This window comes from Homo sapiens, chromosome 14 (genome assembly GCF_000001405.40).
Source record: "Homo sapiens chromosome 14, GRCh38.p14 Primary Assembly".
Classification (NCBI taxonomy): Eukaryota; Metazoa; Chordata; class Mammalia; order Primates; family Hominidae; genus Homo; species Homo sapiens.
This window is the reverse complement of record NC_000014.9, coordinates 21964447-21983311: the sequence shown is the minus strand read 5'-3', so window position 1 is coordinate 21983311 and position 18865 is coordinate 21964447. Positions and strand designations below refer to the sequence as shown.

General features: G+C 37.7%; 2 gene segments (V, D, J or C) and 1 further gene, besides 8 other annotated features; all 3 read right to left on the bottom strand.

Moving 5' to 3' along the window:
* Nucleotides 1-18865, bottom strand: part of TRA (T cell receptor alpha locus) — a 930229-nt gene that overhangs the window by 568821 nt on the left and 342543 nt on the right.
* Nucleotides 3476-4486: a sequence feature (TRAV8-6 leader sequence).
* Nucleotides 4154-4162: a recombination feature (nonamer).
* Nucleotides 4163-4184: a recombination feature (spacer).
* On the bottom strand, nt 4192-4633 carry TRAV8-6 (T cell receptor alpha variable 8-6). The segment is given in 2 exon segments: nt 4192-4486; nt 4588-4633. Coding segments are annotated over 2 exon segments (341 nt in total), but the record flags the coding sequence as incomplete, so codon positions are not given.
* Nucleotides 4588-4633: a sequence feature (TRAV8-6 leader sequence).
* Nucleotides 17212-17220: a recombination feature (nonamer).
* Nucleotides 17221-17243: a recombination feature (spacer).
* Nucleotides 17251-17805, bottom strand: TRAV12-3 (T cell receptor alpha variable 12-3). The segment is given in 2 exon segments: nt 17251-17541; nt 17754-17805. Coding segments are annotated over 2 exon segments (343 nt in total), but the record flags the coding sequence as incomplete, so codon positions are not given.
* Nucleotides 17528-17541: a sequence feature (TRAV12-3 leader sequence).
* Nucleotides 17754-17805: a sequence feature (TRAV12-3 leader sequence).

The following is an 18865-nucleotide window of genomic DNA, read 5'->3' as shown; positions in this document are numbered from 1 at the left end:
CATGCTAATTTCTGGGGTCCCTCAGGTGTGGTACAACTGGGCCACATGCAGATGACACCCTATCCACCCTAGACAGCTTTCCTGAGCCCTGGGGGACCTGTTTGCAATGAAACCTAAGCTTCTGTTGTCCCTTGCTTATCTGTAATCAATAAACCTGTTTCATGTACCTTGTTGTATGCATGTGTATTCTGTCTCACTGGACTCAGACAACTTGGTAACCAGTACACAGTGAACCTGCTTCACATTTTATGATAAAAATATTCAACAAATTGGGAAATTACCCCCAACATAATAAAGGCCATATATAAAAAGCCCACAGCTAACATCACACTCAGTGGTGTGTGAAACACAAAAAAGCTTTTCCTCTAAGATCAGAACAAGATAAGGGTAACCACCCTCACCACTTCCATTCAGGATAATACTAGAAATCCTAGCCAGAGTAAATAGACAGGAAAAAGAAATTAAAAGTACTCAAATCAGAAAAGAAGTAAAATTATTTCTGTTCGTAGATGACATAAATTCATTAAAAACCCTGAAGACGCCACCAAAAAAGCCTATTAGAAATAATAAATGAATCCAGTAAAGTTGTAGGGTATAAAAATCAACACACAAAAATTAGTGCCGTTTCTTTTTTTTTTTTTTTTGAGACAGAGTCTCACACTGTCGCCTGGGCTGGAAAGCAGTGGCGCAATCTCGGCTCACTGCAACCTCCGCTTCCCGAGTTTAAGTGATTCTCCTGCCTCAGCCCCCCGAGTAGCTGGGATTATAGGTTCCTGCCACCATGCCCAGCTAATTTTTTACATTTTAGTAGAGACAGGGTTTCACCATGTTGGCCAGGCTGGTCTCGAACTCCTGATCTCGTGATTCGCCTGCCTTGGCCTCCCAAAGTGCTGGGATTACAGGCATAAGCCACCACACCAGGCCCATCAGTGCCATTTCTACACATTAACAATAAACTATCTGAAAAAAAATCCAGAAAACAATCCATTTATTATAGCTACAAAAGATTAAAATGTTTAGAAGTAAACTTAACTAATTAGTCTAAAGGCTTGTACACAGAAAACAACAAAACATTCATAAGAAAAATTAAAGAAGGCACAAATAAATGAAAGATAGTCTATGTTCATGAATTGGAAGATTTAATATTGTTAAGGTGTTTATACAACCCAAAGCAATCTACAATGCTATCCCTATCAAAATCCCAATGAAATTTTTATGGAAATAGAAAAAACTAAAATTTTAATTCTAAAATTTCTCTGGAAACACAAAAGGCCCAGAATAGCTCAAACAATCCTGAGAAAGAAAAACAAAGCTAAAAGCACCCCACTTCTTGGTTTCAGAATATATTACAAAGCTACAGTAATTAAAACATCATAGTTCTATCATAAAGACAAACATACGAACCAATGGAACAGAATAGAGAGCTGAAAAATAGACCCACACATACGCACTCAGCTGATGTTTGACAAGGGCATCAAGGATACATAATGGGGAAAGAGTAGTTCTTCAACAAATTGTGCTGTGGAAACTGAATATCCACTTGCAAAAGAATGAAATTGGACTTCTAGCTAACATAATACACATAAATCAACTCAATATTAATTAAAAACGTAAAACCCAAAACTGTAAAACTATTGGAAAAATATATGGGAAACTCTCCATGACATGTGGTCTAAGCAACAGCCAATTCTTGTATGTGACACCACAGGCACTGGCAACAAAACCAAACGTAGATAAGCAGGACTTTATAAAATTTAAAAGATTCTGCCCATCAAAGAAAATAATCAATAGGAAAAAAAGCCAACATGTAGAGTGAAAGAAATATTTGCAAACTATATGTCTGATAAGGGGCTAATCTTCAAAATATATAGGGAACTCCTATAACTATCAATGTTTTAATAACTTGATTAAAACATTGGCAAAGGATTTGAGTAGATATTTCTCCAGAGAAGACATACAAATGGCTGAAGTTATATGAAAATCTGCTCAACATCATTAATCACCAGATAAATTAGATATCGCAATGAGTTATTACCTCTCACCTTTTAGGTTGGCTATTATAAAACAACAACAACAATGTTGATAAGAATGTGGAGAAGTTGGAACCCTTGCTGCAAAATGGTGCAGCAATTATGAAAAACAGTAAGGAGTTTCCCCCTGGAATTAAAAATGTACCATATGATTCAGCAATCCCACTACTGGTTATTTATCAAAAAAATTAAATTCAGGATATTGAAGAAACATTTTCTCTCCCATGGTCACTGCCGCATTATTCACATTAGCCAAGATATGGGAACAACCTAAATATCTACTGATGGATGAATGAAGAAAATGTGATATATGCATAAAATGGAATATTCTTCAACCTTTAAAAAAGGAGATTCTGCCACATGCAAAAACATGGATGAACCCTAAGGACATTATGCTAAGTGAAATAAGCCAGTCATAGAAGGCCTGCATGAGATATCTAAAACTGTCAAACTAATAGAAGTAGAGAGTAGAATGGTGGTTACCATTCTTGGGGCTGGGGGAAGAAGAAGTGGGGAGGTGTTGATGAAGGGGTACAAAGTTTCTATCAGATAAGATGAAGAATTACTAGAGATCTGCTATTCAACATTGGGCCAATAGTTAACTGAGTTGTACACTTCAAAAATTTGTTAAAATAGACATCATGTTAAGTGTTCTTGGCCTGTAAAATCTGAACATAATCAAAATAACAGGCCATAAAAGGCACAATGAAAAGACAAATCTGTAAGAAAAACTACAAACGAAAATGAAATGAGGACGAAAGTAAAACTGGAAGAGGTGGCACGCTAAGAAGTAACTAAAGAATGTCAGCAGCCAAAGAAACCATAAGCAAGAACCTGAGTCTTTGGTGCAAGAGAAGAAGCCAAGTCTAAATATTTTTTATTATAAACCCTCTACCCTCTTTTAGCTCAATTCATAGGAATATTTTTAAACTACTTTAAACACATGTTTTATAATAAGGGAAGAATACAACTTCATCTCATTTTAAAAGAGGAGATTTAGGCAATTGTAAATATTTTTAAGAAGTGAGATGATTCATTTCATAATTTTTGTCATCAAAAATTACAAAATGTTGAATTAAGGAAGACAACTTCTGTATGTGTGAACATTTTATAATACTTTGAGAGGCATTTTTTAATTCTACCATGTGATCAAACTACAAATAAAAATTTGGAGTAATAATCATGTACATAAAATATCTTAACATGTTGGTTTTTCGATATAATTATTTCAGAGTAAGTAATAGGGTACCCTGGTCTTGGATATGCCCATTAGAATTCATATACTCTCTGATAATGCAACTGGAATTTTTTGTTGTGTAATTTTATATAATAAATCTGTGTAATCTCTTAAAATAAAATGCCTCGGAGTTTTAAAGTAGTTTTTAAAGTAGTTGAATCTAGGGTATTTGATATCTTTATATTGGTTACATTTTTATCCCTCAAGTTTGTAACTTGGAAATCACTGGAATAGCTGTTTTAAAAAAGATCACAACTTGACAGCTTAGTTTTTCAATATTGTATTAAGATTTATGTTTAATTTCCTGTTTTGCATAATGCTCACAAGATTAAAAATCTTGATATTATGTCTAATTTACTTTAAATATGTCAATACCACACAGTGGGATATTATGTATGTGCTAGAAGTTAAGCTTCAAATCTAGGTTGAGAATCTACAGCACACTGATTGAGAATCTGTGCTGTATGGGTTACCCTAATTGAGAATCCATCCTGCACAGCTTTTAGCTAACATTCTAATCAATTACATCGGTTATTCACAAGTTAACACCTGAGGCAATACTAATCATAATGGTTGCTAGAAATAATTTTGTATAAAAATGTTGTTGCCTTTTATTTCGGAGTTCTGACACCTTATGATGTGCTTTCTTCAGAGTGTGGAGGAGGTCCCCACTGAAGAAATTCATCAGGAAACCTCCATGTGGGACAAAGCATATCTGAATGTGGCATGACATTGACATTGGAGCAATTATTCCGGAGACAAACCCTACCAAGGGCTCAGCCCACCCTGCCCTATGTGCCTTCAAAACGGGCACAGAAAAAAGGGACCCTCTTGAAAGCTCCACAGGTTGAGTTCTTGAGTCACAGAAAGTCTCAGCATCTCAGGAGGTTTGTGTTCAGCTCTCCTGCAGTCTCAGGCACTGTGTCACTCACAGCACAGAAGTACTCAGCCGTGTCGCTTATATGGACTGAGGGTTTCCTCAAGTGGAAGGAAGTTTGACTCTTGTTAAATTCAGCCTCAAAACCGTTGATGCTTTCAACCAGGGTGGATCCTGATAAATACTTCAGGAGAAGCTGGAGTCCTTGGTTGGGGTATTGCACATACCAGAAGAGATACACTGAAACAGACGATGAGTAGTTGCACCTCAGCTCCACAGGGGCTTCTTCAAAGACAGGGACTTGGCTGTCAAGCTGGGTCACAGACTGGGCTCTGGTTCCTCCTGCAACATCAATGCTGTTTGAGTAAAAAATGTGTCTCAATTTAGATTCAGTTACAACACAGTCACTTCTGTGGAAGGAAAAAGAATGGAATGTTACTCACCCAGGGTAAAAATCACCTGGAACGCTGGGACGAGCAGCAGGAGCATGGCTGAGCAGTGGCAATGCTGCAGGACCTTAAGCTGGGCGGACAGAAGCCAAGGGCGCTGAGCCTCAGGAGCTAGGAACTGTGAGGAGGTTGGATTGGACAAGTCCCTGGCTTTGAAAAGTTTCAGAAACAGAAAGAGGCTTTCCCTTAAGGAGCCTGGATGTGTTCTGACCTCTTGCTCTCGTCACAGCTCCCTATCCACACAGACATCAACGAGCTACATCAGCCAGCTACAGGGAGGAGGCTCAATGGATGAGGATGGTCTGCGATGAAAACAGATGCCTACTTGATGCAACATCGCCCTCTAGAGGCAACAGGAGGAACCACGGATCCAAGGGAGCAAGCTGTTTCCTTCTCATTTCAGACATGATATCAAAACTTCAACAGAAAGCGTTTCTTTCCTCCTGAATCTGTGATGATGTTACCTTCTGTATAGTACATGATATTAATCTCAAAATTATTGAGAAATTGAAGCCATAAAGCAAATTGCAATAAATTCAAAAATACCAAAATCATACCAAGCATAATCTTGGACCACAGTGTAATAAAAATGGAAATCATTACCAAGGAGATCTCTCAAAACCACACAGTTACACGGAAATTAAACAACTTGCTCCTCAATGACTTTTGGGTAAACAACAAAGTAGAGCAAAAATTAATGAAAACAGAAAGACAAAATTCCAGAGTCTTTGGTTTGCAGCTAAAGGTGTTAATAGGAAAGTTTATACTGCTAAATACTTATATCAAGAAATTAGAAAGATCTCAAGTGAGCATTCTAGCATCACAATTAGAAGGACTAGAAAAAGAAGAACAAACAAAGCCAAAAGCTAGCAGAAGAAAATAAATAAACAAAATCAGAAAAGAACTGAACAAAATTGAGACTTGAAAATCCATACAGAGGATCAATAAAACCAAAAGTTGTCTTTCAGGAAGAATAAACAAGATTGATACACCACTAAGTAGGTTAATGAAGAAAATAAGAGAGAAGTTCCAAATAAGCACAATCAGAAATGACAAAGGAGACATTACAATTGATCCCATAGAAATACAAAAGACCCTAAGAGAATACTAGGAACACCACTATTCATAAAAATTAGAAAACCTGGAGAAAACGAATAAATTCCTGGAAGAAAATAACCTCTATATATTCAACCAAGAAGAAATTGAAAACCTGAACAGACTAATAATGAGTTCTGGAAATGAGTTAGTAATAATAATTTTTTAAAACCTGCCAACCAAAAATAACCCCTGGACTGGATGGATTCACAACAGAATTCAGCCAGTTGTACAAAGAAGAACTGGTACCAATCCTACTGAAGCTATTCCCAAAACATTGAGGAGAAGGGTTCCTTCCTAACTCACTCAATGTAGTCTGCATCATTCTGATAGTAAAATCCAGCAGAGACACAATGAAAAAAGAAAATATCAGTCAATATCCCTGACAAACTTAAACGTAAAAATCCTCAACAAAAATACTAGCAAACTGAATCCAGCAGTACATCAAAAAGTTAATTCAAGGTCAAGTAGGCTTCATTCCTGGGGTGCAAGGTTTGTTCAACATAGACGAATCAATAAATGTGATTCACCACAGAAACAGAATTAAAAGCAAAACCATATGATCATGTCAATAGATGCAGTCAGCTTTCAATAAAGTCCAACATCACTTTATGATAAAAACCCTCAACAAACTAAGCATGGAAGGAATATACCACAAAATAATAAGAGCCACCTATGACAAACAGCCAACATCATACTCAATGGGAAAAAGCTGGAACCATTCCCCTTGAGAACTGGAACAAGAAAATAATGTATACTCTCAGTACTCCTATTCAGTATAGTATTGGAAGTCCTAGCCAGAGCACTCAAGAAAGAGAAAAAAATAAAGTGTACCCAAACAGGGAAAGAAGCAGTCAAATTATCCGTCTTTGCTGACAGTATGATTTGATATCTAGAAAAACCCTCAAGGTTCTGCCGAAAGGCTCCTAGACTTGATAAAAGATTTCAGTGAAGTTTCAGGATGCAAAACAAATTTGCAAAAATCAGTAGCATTGCTATACACCAATAATGTTCGAGCTGTCTGTTCAAGCTGACAGCTGGGACACTGGAGTGCTGGGCCGAGCAGCAGGAGCATGGCTCAGCAGTGGCAATGCTGCAGGACCTTGAGCAGGGTCCTAAAGACTAAAGAACAAAATTACATTTGCAATAGACACAAAAAGAATAGATACCTAGGAATACAGCTAACCAAGGATGTGAAAGATCTCTACAAAGAGAACTACAAAACACTGCTGAGAGAAATCAGAGATGGCACACAAAAAAGGAAAAACATTGCATACCCTGGATTAGGAGAATCCATATCTTTAAAATGTCCATACTACTCAAAGCAATTTACAGATTCAACGCTATTCCTATCAAACTACTAATGCCATTTTTCACAGAATTAGGAAAAAACTATTCTAAAATTCATATGGAACCAAAAGAGCCTAAATAGTGAAAGCAATCTAAGCAACAAGCACAAAGCCGGAGGCATCACACTACCCAACTTCAAGCTACACTACAAGTCTACAGTAACCAAAACAGCATAGTACTGGTATAAAAATGGGCACATAAACCAATGGAACAGAATAGCAAATTCTGAAATAAAGTAACACACCTACAACCATCTGATCTTTGACAAAGTCAACAAAAATAAGAAATTGGGAAAAACTCTCTAGTCAATAAATGGTGCTGGGGATAACTGGCTAGCCACATACCAGTGTATGTGAATGAAGCTGGACCCCAACCCATCACTATACACAAAAATTAATTCCAGATGGATTAAAGACTTAATTGTAATACCCAAAACTATAAAAATCTTAGGGGGAAAAAAACAGAAAAATACCCTTTTGCCATCGGCATTGGCAAAGAATTTATGGTTAAGTCCTGGAAAGCAATTGCAACCAAAACAAAACTTGAAAAGTGTGACCTACGTAGTTTGTGCACAGGAAAATAAACTATCAATATAGTAAACAGACAACCTACAGAATGGGTGAAATTATTTGCAAACTATGTATCTGACAAAAGTCTTATATCCAGAATCTATAAGTAACAAGCTGGGTGTGACGGCTCATACCTGTAATCCCCACACTTTGTGTGGCTGAAGCTGGAAGACTGCTTGAAGCCAGGGGTTCAAGACCAGCCCGGGCAGCATAGCAAGAATCTGACTCAAAAAAAAAAAGTGAGAGAAAGAAGGAAAGAAGGAAAGAAGGAAGAAAGGAAAGAAGGAAGGAAGGAAGGAAGGAAGGAAGGAAGGAAGGAAGGAAGGAAGGAAGGAAAGAAGGAAGGAAGGAAAGAGAAAGAGAAGGAGAGAAAGAGAGGAAGGAAGGGAGGGAGGGAGGGAAGAAGGAAGGAAGGAAGGAAGGGAGGAAGGAAGGAAGGAAAAGAAAAACATCAGCTGGCCATAGTGGCATGTGCCTGTAGTCCCAGCTAAAGCAGGAGGATCCCTTGAGCCCTGGAGTTTAAGGATAGAGTGAGCTAGGATCATGCTACTGCACTCCAGTCTGGGCAACAGAGTGAGACCCTGTCTTTCCAAAAAAGAAAGAAACAAAAGTAACTTCAACAAATCGACAAGCAAAAAGCAACCGCATTAAAATGTAGGCAAAGGACATGAACAGAGACTTCTTAAAAGAAGACATACATACAGCCAACAAACATGAAAAAATGCTCATCATCACTTAACATCAGAGAAATGTAAATCAAAACCACAATGAGATACCATCTCACACCAATCAGAATGGCTTTTTTTAAAAAGTCAAAGAATAATAGATGTTGGCTAGGCTGTGTAGAAAAGGGAACACTTACATACTGTTGGTGGAAATATAAATTAGTCCAGCTACTGTGGAGATTAGTTTTGAGATTTCTCAAAGAACTTAAAACAGAGCTAACATTCAACCCAGCAATCCCATTACTGGGTATATACCCAAAGGCAAATAAAATTTTCTACCAAAAAGACACATTCACCCATACATTCATCACAGCATTATTCACAATAGCAAAGAAATGGAATCAACTCAGGTGCCAATCGGTGGTGGATTGGATGAAGAAAATGTGGCACATATACACCATGGACTTCTATGCAACCATAGAAAAATGAAATCCTGTCCTTTGCAGCAACAAGTATGCAGCTAGAGGCCATTATCTGAAAGGAATTAATGCAGAAGCAGAAAACTAAATACTGCATGTTCTCACTTATAGGTGGGGGCTAAACACTAGCTACACATGAACATAAAGATAGTCACAATAGACACTGGGTACTACTAGAGTGGGAAGAGAGGGAAGGAGAAAAGGACTGAAAACTATTAGGAACTATGCTCACAACCTGAGCGACAATGCATTCATAGTCCAAACTTCAGCATCATGCAATATGCCTCTGTTACAAACCTGCACATGTACTCCTGATTCTAAAATAACAGTTGAAAGAAATAAAATTTAAAAATTAGAAAATAAAAATGTTTTTCCCCTCAAAAAATAGATAAGAAATTGGAGTTATGTAAAACTAGAAAAGTAATTTACTTCACTGAGAAATTAGTCACAGAAGGCAATATTCCAGATTTTGGAATACCATTAAGATGCTCTATGTTATTTTTTAGAGGCACTCATCAAGGAGAGGGGAGAAGATCAATTGCCTCAGGCTTAGCTAAGCTTCGTGTGGCACTGTGCTAGTGGATTCACATGAGCATTAGAGTGGATGGAAGAGATTTCTCTTTTATTAGGTGCTAAAGGAAAAAAAAAATGACTAGAGACTCATACTTAAAATCAGCCTGGATCACGTGTCATTAGCTAATTAGTCAATGCAAACTAATAGGTAATAATTTTCTTTGTGAAGCAGAAATTGTGAAAAAGACTTCTTGGTTTCAAATCAAGTTTGATGTTTGTAAGGCTAGGAGAAAAAACTTAGAGAAAAGTCCCATTTGAATTATCAACGCTCAGAATAGACTGATACATTATGCCAAATTATGGTATCTCGCCTTAAAAAGAACATCAACAGAAGCCCATTTATGGAGAAATTTGAGCAGAATAATGAAGGTAATAAAATATAACATATAAATAAGTAATTATGGGAAGAATTAAAGATACAGAAAGAAAAGTAAGCCTACGTGAACTCAGTAAAGCTGGGAGGAGTGCAACCAGCAGACAAGAAATGAGATGACCAAGAAAATGGGAGGTATAGAAGACTTAGGATAGGTTGACAGTGATACTCAACAGAGCTAGGCAAGAAGCAGTCCCCTGTGGGTGGGAGACAGGATGCATTGAACCAGAGCAGTCAACTCTATGGCCTAAGAAGATGAAATTCTTGAATGAAAAGACTTCCTCACCCAACTTATTTTAGCATAGAGATCATTGGATCCTAAAATTGAAAAAATCAAATAAAGAAAAAAACTCAGGTGAAATAAGAACCGGCTAACAAGAATTCTTTTCAAAGGTCAAAACAAACTCCTTCCTTTCTGTGTACTCTGTTGACTCATGCCAGTGGGAAATCAGTTCTCCCTTGCACTTCTGACCTATTCCTTGATTCTGCCTGTAGATTTTCTTTTCATATGTAAGACAACATAATATATTTCATTCAAAATATTAAACTTTACTAGGGTAGGCTATTGCTATTTACTACGGTAGGCTATTGCTATTATAAATAGTGCTTCAATAAACATACGTGTGCATGTGTCTTTATAGTAGAATGATTTATAATCCTTTGAGTATATATCCAGTAATGGGTTCGCTGGATCAAATGGTATTTCTGGTTCTAGATCCTTGAGGAATCACCACACTGTCTTCCACAATGGTTGAACTAATTTACACTCCCACCAACAGTGTAAAAGTGTTCCTATTTCTCTACATCCTCACCGGCGTCTGTTGTTTCCTGGCTTTTTAATAATCGCCATTCTAACTGGCATGAGATGGTATCTCGCTGTGGTTTTGATTTGCCTTTCTCTAATGACCAGTGATGACGAGCTTTTTTTCATATGTTTTTTGGTCACATACATGTCTTCTTTTGAGAAGTGTCCATATCTTTCTCCCACTTTTTGATGGGGTTGTTTGGTTTTTTTTCTTGTAAATTTGTTTAAGTTCCTTGTAGATTCTGGATATTAAACCTTTGACAGATGGATAGATTGCAGAAATTTTCTCCCATTCTGTAGGTTGCCTGTTGATTCTGATGATAGTTTCTTTTGCTGTGCAGAAGCTTTTTAGTTTTATTAGATCCCATTTGTCTATTTTGGCTTTTGTTGCAATTGCTTTTAGTGTTTTAGTCATGAAGACTTTGCCAATGCCTATGTCCTGAATGGTATTGCCTAAGTATTCTGCTAGAGGTTTTATGGTTTGGGGTTTTACATTTTAGTCTTTAATCCATCTTGAGTTAATTTTTGTATAAGGTATAAGGAAGGGATCCGGTTTCTGTTTTCTGCATATGGCTAGCTAGTTTTCCCAACACGATTTATTAAATAGGTAATTCTTTCCCCTTTTCATATTGCTTGTTTTTGTCAGCTTTGTCAAAAACCAGATGGTTGTAGATGTGTGGTGTTCTTTCTGAGGTCTCTGTTCTGTTCTATTGGTCTATATATCTGTTTTGGTACCAGTACCGTGCTGTTTTGGTTACTGTAGACTTGTAGCATAGTTTGAAGTCAAGTAGCATGATGCCTCCAGCTTCATTCATTTTGCTTAGGATTGTCTTGACTATACGGGCTCTTTTTTGGTTCTGTATGAAATTTAAAGTAGTTTTTTCTAATTCAGTAAAGAAAGTCACTGGTAACTTCATGGAATAGCATTGAATCTATAAATTACTTTGGGCACTATGGCCATTTTAATGATATTGATTCTTCCTATCCATGAACATGGAGTTTTTTTCTTTTTGTGTGTGTGTGCCCTCTCTTATTTCCTTGAGCAGTGGTTTGTAGTTCTCCTTGAAGAGATCCTTCACATCCCTTGTAAGTTGTATTCCTAGATATTTTATTCCCTTTGTAGCAATTGTGAATGGGAGTTCACTCATGCTTTGGCTCTCTGCTTGTCTATTGTTAGTATACAGGAATGCTTGTGATTTTTGCACATTGATTTTGTATCCTGAGACTTTGCTGAAGTTGCTTATCAGCTCAAGGAGTTTTGGGACTGAGACTATGGGGTTTTCTAAATATACAATCATGTCATCTGCAAATAGAGACAATTTGACTTCCTCTCTTCCTATTTGAATACTCTCTATTTCTTTCTCTTTCCTGATTGCTCTGGCCAGAACTTCCAATACTATATTGAATAGGAGTGGTAAGAGAGGCCATCCTTGTCTTGTGCCGGTTTTCAAAGGGAATGCTTCCAGGTTTCACCCATTCAGTATGATATTGGCTATGGGTTTGCTATAAATAGCTCTTATTATTTTGAGATATGTTCCATTAATACCTAGCTTATTGAGAGTTTTTAGCATGAAGGGATGTTGAATTTTATCAAAGGTCTTTTCTGCATCTATTGAGATAATCATGTGGTTTTTGTCATTGGTTCTGTTTATGTGATGGATTACGTTTATTGATTTGTGTATGTTGAACCAGCCTTGCATCCCAGGGATAAAGCCAACTTGATCGTAGTGGATAAGCTTTTTGATGGGCCGTTGGATTCAGTTTGCCAATATTTTATTGAAGATGTTTGCATGGATGTTCATCAGGGATATTGGCCTGAAAATTTCTTTTTTTGTTGTGTCTCTGTCAGGTTTTGATATCAGAATGATGCTGGCCTCATAAAATGAGTTTGGGAGTATTCCCTCTTTTTCTATTGTTTGGAATACTTTCAGAAGGAATGGTACCAGCTCTTCTTTGTACCTCTGGTAGAATTTGGCTGTGAATCCATGTGGTCATAGGCTTTTTTTGGTTAGTAGGCTATTAATTACTGCCTCAATTTCAGAATGTGTTATTGGTCTACTTCTTCCTGGTTTAGTCTTCGGAGGGTATATGTGTCCACACATTTATCCATTTCTTCTAGATTTCCTATTGTTTTGTGTGTAGAAGTGTTCATAGTATTCTCTGATGGTAGTTTGTATTTCTGTGGGATCAGTGGTGATATCCCCTTTATCATTTCATGTTATGTCTATTTGATTCTTCTCTCTTTTCTTCTTTATTAGTCTGGCTAGTCATCCACCTATTTTGTTGATCTTTACAAAAAAAAACAGCTCCTGGATTCATTGATTTTTTGAAGGGTTTTTTGGGTCCCTATCTACTTCATTTCTGCTCTGATCTTAGTTATTTCTTGTCTTCTGCTAGCTTTTGAATTTGTTTGCTCTTGCTTCTCTAGTTATTTTAATTGCGATGTTAGAGTGTCGATTTTAGATCTTTCCCACTTCCTGATGTGGGCATTTACTGCTATAAATTTCCCTCTCACCACTGTTTTAGCTGTGTCCCAGAGATTCTGGTATATTGTCTCCTTGTTCTCATTAGTTTCAAAGAACTTATTTATTTTTGCCTTAATTTTGTTATTTACCCAGTAGTCATTCAGGAGCAGGTTGTTCAATTTCCATGTAGTTGTGTGGTTTTGAGTGAGTTTCTTAATCCTGAGTTCTAATTTGATTGCACTGTGGCCTGAAAGACTGTTTGTTATGATTTCTGTTCTTTTGCACTTGCTGAGGAGTGGTTTACTTCCCATTATGTGGTTGATTTTAGAATACATGCTATGTGGTGCTGAGAAGAATGTTGATGTGGGGTGGAGAGTTCTGTAAATGTCTATTAGGTCCACTTGGTCTAGAGCTGAGTTCAAGTCCCTAATATACTTGTTAATTTTCTGTCTTCTTGGTCTGTCTAATATTGACAGTGGGGTGTTAAAGTCTGCCACTATTATTGTGTGGGAGTCTAAGTCTCTTTGTAGGTCTCTAAGAACTTGCTTTATGAATCTGGGTACTCCTGTATTGGTTGCATATATATTTAGGATACTTCGCTCTTCTTGTTGCATTGATCCCTTTACCATTATGTAATGCCCTTCTTTGTCTTTTTTGATCTTTGTTGGTTTAAAGTCTGTTTTATCAGAAACTAGGATTGCAACCCCTGCTTTTTAAAAAATATTTCCATTTGTTTGGTAAATATTCCTTCATCCCTTTATTTTGAGCCTATGTGTGTCTTTGCACATGAGATGGGTCTGCTGAATACAGCACACCGATGGGTCTTGACTCTATCCAATTTGCCAGTCTGTGACTCTTACTTGGGGCATTTAGCCCATTTACACTTAAGGTTAATATTGTTATGTGTGAATTTGATCCTGTCATCATGATGCTAGGTGGTTATTTTGCACATTAGTTGATGCAGTTTCTTCATAGTGTCATTGGTCTTTATATTTTGGTGTGTTTTTGCAGTGGTTGGTACCAGTTTTTCCTTTCCGTATTTAGTGCTTCCTCCAGAAGCTCTTGCAAGGCAGGCCTGGTGGAGACAAAATCCCTCAGCATTTACTTCTGTGTAAAGGATTTTATTTCTCCCTCACTTATGAAGCGTAGTTTGGCTGGATGTGAAATTCTGTGTCAAAAATTCTTTTCTTTATGAATGTCGAATATTGGCCCTCACTATCTTCTGGCTTGTAGGGTATCTGCAGAGAGATCCGCTGTTAGTCTGATGGGCTTCCCTTTGTAGGTTACCTGACCTTTCTGTTTCACTGCCCTTAACATTTTTTCCTTCATTTCAATCTTGGAGAACCTGACGATTATGTGTCTTGGGGTTGCTCTTCTTGAGGAGTGTCTTAATGGTGTTCTCTGTATTTCCTAAATTTGAATATTGGCCTGTCTTGCTAAGTTGGGGACGTTCTCCTGAATAATATCCTGAAGTGTGTTTTCCAACTTGGTTCTGTTCTTCCTGTCACTTTCAGGTACACCAATCAAACGTAGGTTTGGTCTTTTCACAGAGTCCCATATATCTTGGAGACATTGTTCGTTCCTTTTCATTCTTTTTTCTCTAATCTTGTCTTCACACCTTATTTCAGTAAGTTGATCTTCAATCTCTGATATCATTTATTCTGCTCAAAGTCTATTATTTCTCAAATGCTACCCACATACCAGGCAAGTTCCATGTTAATAATGAGCACTGCTGGTCCCCAAGCTAGATCCCCTTTCCTAGGACAGTGTAGCCATCCCCAGCTACTGTGAATGTTGGCTACTCTTGGCTCACAGTTGCCTCTTTCCCTAGAAAATTGACCTTAGCCAATGAGAGTCACCATTGTCCAGTAGCATATACCTCTACCCCAAGAAACACCACAACCAATGATGACTTTATTCTTACCCACAATAGGTCCGAGCAGTCTGGCCTCCTTGCCTCAGGGTGGGAGGAATCAACCCTGTGATACAGTTCAAGCTCCAGAGCTCCCCATGAGGTCAGGCTGGATCAAGACCTCTGCTGGACCATGTCCAGCATCTCAACCTTTCCCCCTCATGTCCAGCCTTTCCCCCATCTCAACCTGGTTTCCCAAATAAATTACAGACAGAGAATTCCAAATGCAGTCTCTGCTTTTAAGGAACTCATCCCAAGACAATATTTTGTCTCACGGAATCCTGAAACCAGTCCTGAAATATATATAATTGTAGAGCTTAATATGAAAAAGGCCATAAGTAATATAATCGATGTTCAAACCAGCACCACAGCCTGAGTTCTTTCCAGAGTGCCATGATGCCAGAAGGCAAATCATAAAAGTGGAATAAAAATTTAAGTACCTTGATTCCAGCACAACTGTTTGCTCTTCCTCCTTGCTTTTTAAATCTTTCTTCTATGACTGGGAAATATTTGTTCAGAGTCTTCACTTCTGCAGAGTAAGAAGTTGCAGCAAATTCTGACTTGGCTTCATCATTTTCATCAGTGACTGTCAATAAAACTGGACAGAAACATTTATTCTTCATTTCCAAGCTTTTCCCACCTTCTGGGCTACATAAATAATGTTATGCCTATCAGACCACAACTTCATTTTTACAGTAAATATGATTCTCAAATATTTTGCCTGTAATTCAAAGTAATGTCTACTAAAAGGCCTTATTTCGTCAGGCCACAAATGCTTTCCCCATACTTGACATACACTGCAGGGCAAATCTGTGGTGCCTTGTAGTCAGGGGATGGAGATATTCATATGATGTTTAGTGTTTCCAACTCTCCAGACAAACATTTCCTGAAGCATTCTCAATTCCATACGGTCTTTGGTATCTTATTCATACAGGTCTTTACTCATCATAACAAAGGACCTTGGTGTCTGGATCTCTTTAAGATACTTAGAGACCCTTCTCAAAAAAATTTTAAGTCCTTCTGTGCTGTCATGCCCTGCTGGGGAGATGAGGCACTCTACAACTACAGCCAATGCTCCTTCCCATCTCCAGGCCACACTCAAGTACATAGGAATCAAAAAACTATCCCATCAGGCTCAAGCTGGGAGTTTTGAATTTGATTAAAACTTTACCCCAAAATGGCAACATAGACCCTCTCTAATCTTTAGTTTGTGCAACTAATTAGGCTTTTTCTCAACCAGTTCTCACTCTCTCACTCTAGTTCTTCCAGCTGTCCATCAGGTGTACCCTTATATAACTCAGGAGTGATGTTGTAGTTGAGGCTGGAGATGGAGTTAGGGTTCTGTAACTTAAAAAATTTATGACTTACCGGATTTTCAAATTAGTCTGCTTATGATTTTTCTTCTCTTTGCATTTCTGCTTTGCTGTTTCATTCTTAAAGCAATGTCTATCAAATGCCTTGGGGAAAGAGCAAAATGTCTTAGGAACCATGAGAGCATATCTGTTATTGTATGGAAATATTTTCTTGTCTTTGATAAAAAGAATCATAAAACCAATCTCATAAAGTAAAGATGTGGCATAAAAGTAGACTGGGCATGGATTAAATAAATGTACCTTTTTGTATAGCAATAATAACTTAATAAAAAGAAACCAGGGAGGAAGCAAATTTTTAGAAATGGTACATATGTTTATGGCACGATTATATTGTCTGTATAAAGTGAATATGTGCACCTTTTTGTGTGTCAATAACACCTCAATAAAAATATTTTATTTGTGTTTTGTTGTTGTTTTGTGTTTTGTTTTTGCTTGTTTTTTGAGACAGGGTATCACTCCATTGTCCAGGCTGGAGTGCAGTCCTGTGATCACAGCTCATTGCAGCCTCCACCTCTCCGACTCAAGAAATCCTCCCACCTCTTCCCTCCCAAGTTGCTGGGACTACAGGTGCATGTCACCACTCTTGGCGATTTTTTTTCTTTTTTTGAGACAAGGTCTCCCTGTGTTGCCCAGGCTAGTCTCAAATTCTTGGGTTTAAGTGATCCTCTTCCCTATGCCTCCAAAAGTGTTGAGATTACAGACATGAGCCACAAAGTCAGCAAAAAAAAAATTTCAAAACTAAAGTGGAAAGAGAAGACTAGAAAATATTTCAAGTAGACCAAATGGTGTCTTTTATTTTCCTTTGGGGTCTCAATAATTTTCAGAATTATGAAAATATGTCCCAAATTAATCAAACCTTCAATACTACTGCTTTTAGTTTTCATTTGCATCTAGAGAACAAATAGAACTTCATTGCCTTGCAGTCTAAGCTCTACATCAGGCATTCCTGGGGCCCAGCAGGTTTGGGTACAGACTGCAAGTGTCTGGGGAGCACTGTGCGCTCATTGCACAGAGGTAGGTGGCTGAATCACTGGGCTGTGAGTCTCTGATGAACAAGGAGATATACTTGCTGGATTTATCGACCTGTGCTGTAAACCTTCCATCTTCTTTGTTACCACTGGAGTATGTGTACATCAGCAACTCAGGGCCTTTTCTGGAATACTGTCTGTACCACATGAAGTATTGAAAAGCACTGTTGCTGTAAGTGCAGTTGAGAGAAACAATGGCTCCCTCTGGAACACTGAGTGGTCCAGGATCCTGCTCCACCTCCTTCTGTTGGCTCCAAACCCCTGTGAAAAAAGACAGCAGTCAGACAGAGAAGACAGATTGGGTAGGGGACACTTCGTACCCAGAATTTAAATCATCTTTTCATGGGCCCCCCACTCTCCCCAGTCTCCCTTTGTTAGAGAAAAAACCACTCATGTTTCTACCCACAGGCCTAGAATACACAATAATTGCAAACAATATACATTATGTTTCTACAGAGATGCCCAAAACTCACAGCTTAACTGAAGCCACAGGATCACCAGTAAAACTCTCAAGGATTTCATCATTCTTTTCTGCCCTGGTTCACTGAGGATTCAAACCTTAAACACGAAAAAAAAATAATAACAAACGTTTCTCATTTTTCTGCTGTAGGAATCATAAAAGAAATCTGTCCTACCAATTAGAAAAAGGATGTTCTTTTTAACACCTCTGCTCCATCATTAAGCTCCTCCCTCATCTCTCCCTCTGTCTTGCTCTTATTCATGTGTGTGTGTGCACTTGCAAGTGCACATGCATCCCCTCCCCTCCCCACCGCAGGAGCACATGAGAGCTTGCCTCAAGGTCCCTGAGAAGACACTGCCATCTTGAGGACTCATGAAAGTGATCAAAGATGTATTCCAACTACAGACCTGTGTTATGTGAACTGCTAAAAGTGAAAATATGACACTTTAGTTAAATTCAGAATATACAAGGAACTCAAACAACTCAACAGCAAAAAAAAAAGTCAAACAATCCCATTTAAAAATGGGCAGAAGATCTAAATTGACATTTCTCAAAAGAAGACAAATAGCCAATAGGTATTTAAAACATGCTCAACATCACTAATCATCAAGGAAATGCGAATCAAAACCACAATGAGATATCATCCTATCCCAGTTAGAATCGCTATTATTAAAAATATAGAAAATAATAGATGTGATGAGGATTCATAGAAAATGGAACTCTCAAACATTGTTGGTAGGAATGTAAATTAGTACAGCCACTCTGGAAAACAGTAGGGAAATTTCTCAAAAATGTAGTAATAGAACTACCATACAATCCAGCAATCCAACTACTGAGTATTTATCCAAAGGAAAGAAGTGTTTTGAAGGCATACCTGCCTCCTCATGTTTATTGTAGCACTATTCTCAATAGTAAAGATATTAAATCAACAAAGTGTCTATCTACTGGTGAATGGATAAAGAAAATGTTGTATAGTTACACAATGGAATACTATTCAGGTATAAAAATAAATGAAATCGTGTCCTTTGCAGCAACATGGATGGAACTGGAAGTCATTATGTTAAATGAAATAAGCCAGGCACAAGAAGATAAATATTGCATGAATTCACTCATAGGTGGAAGCTA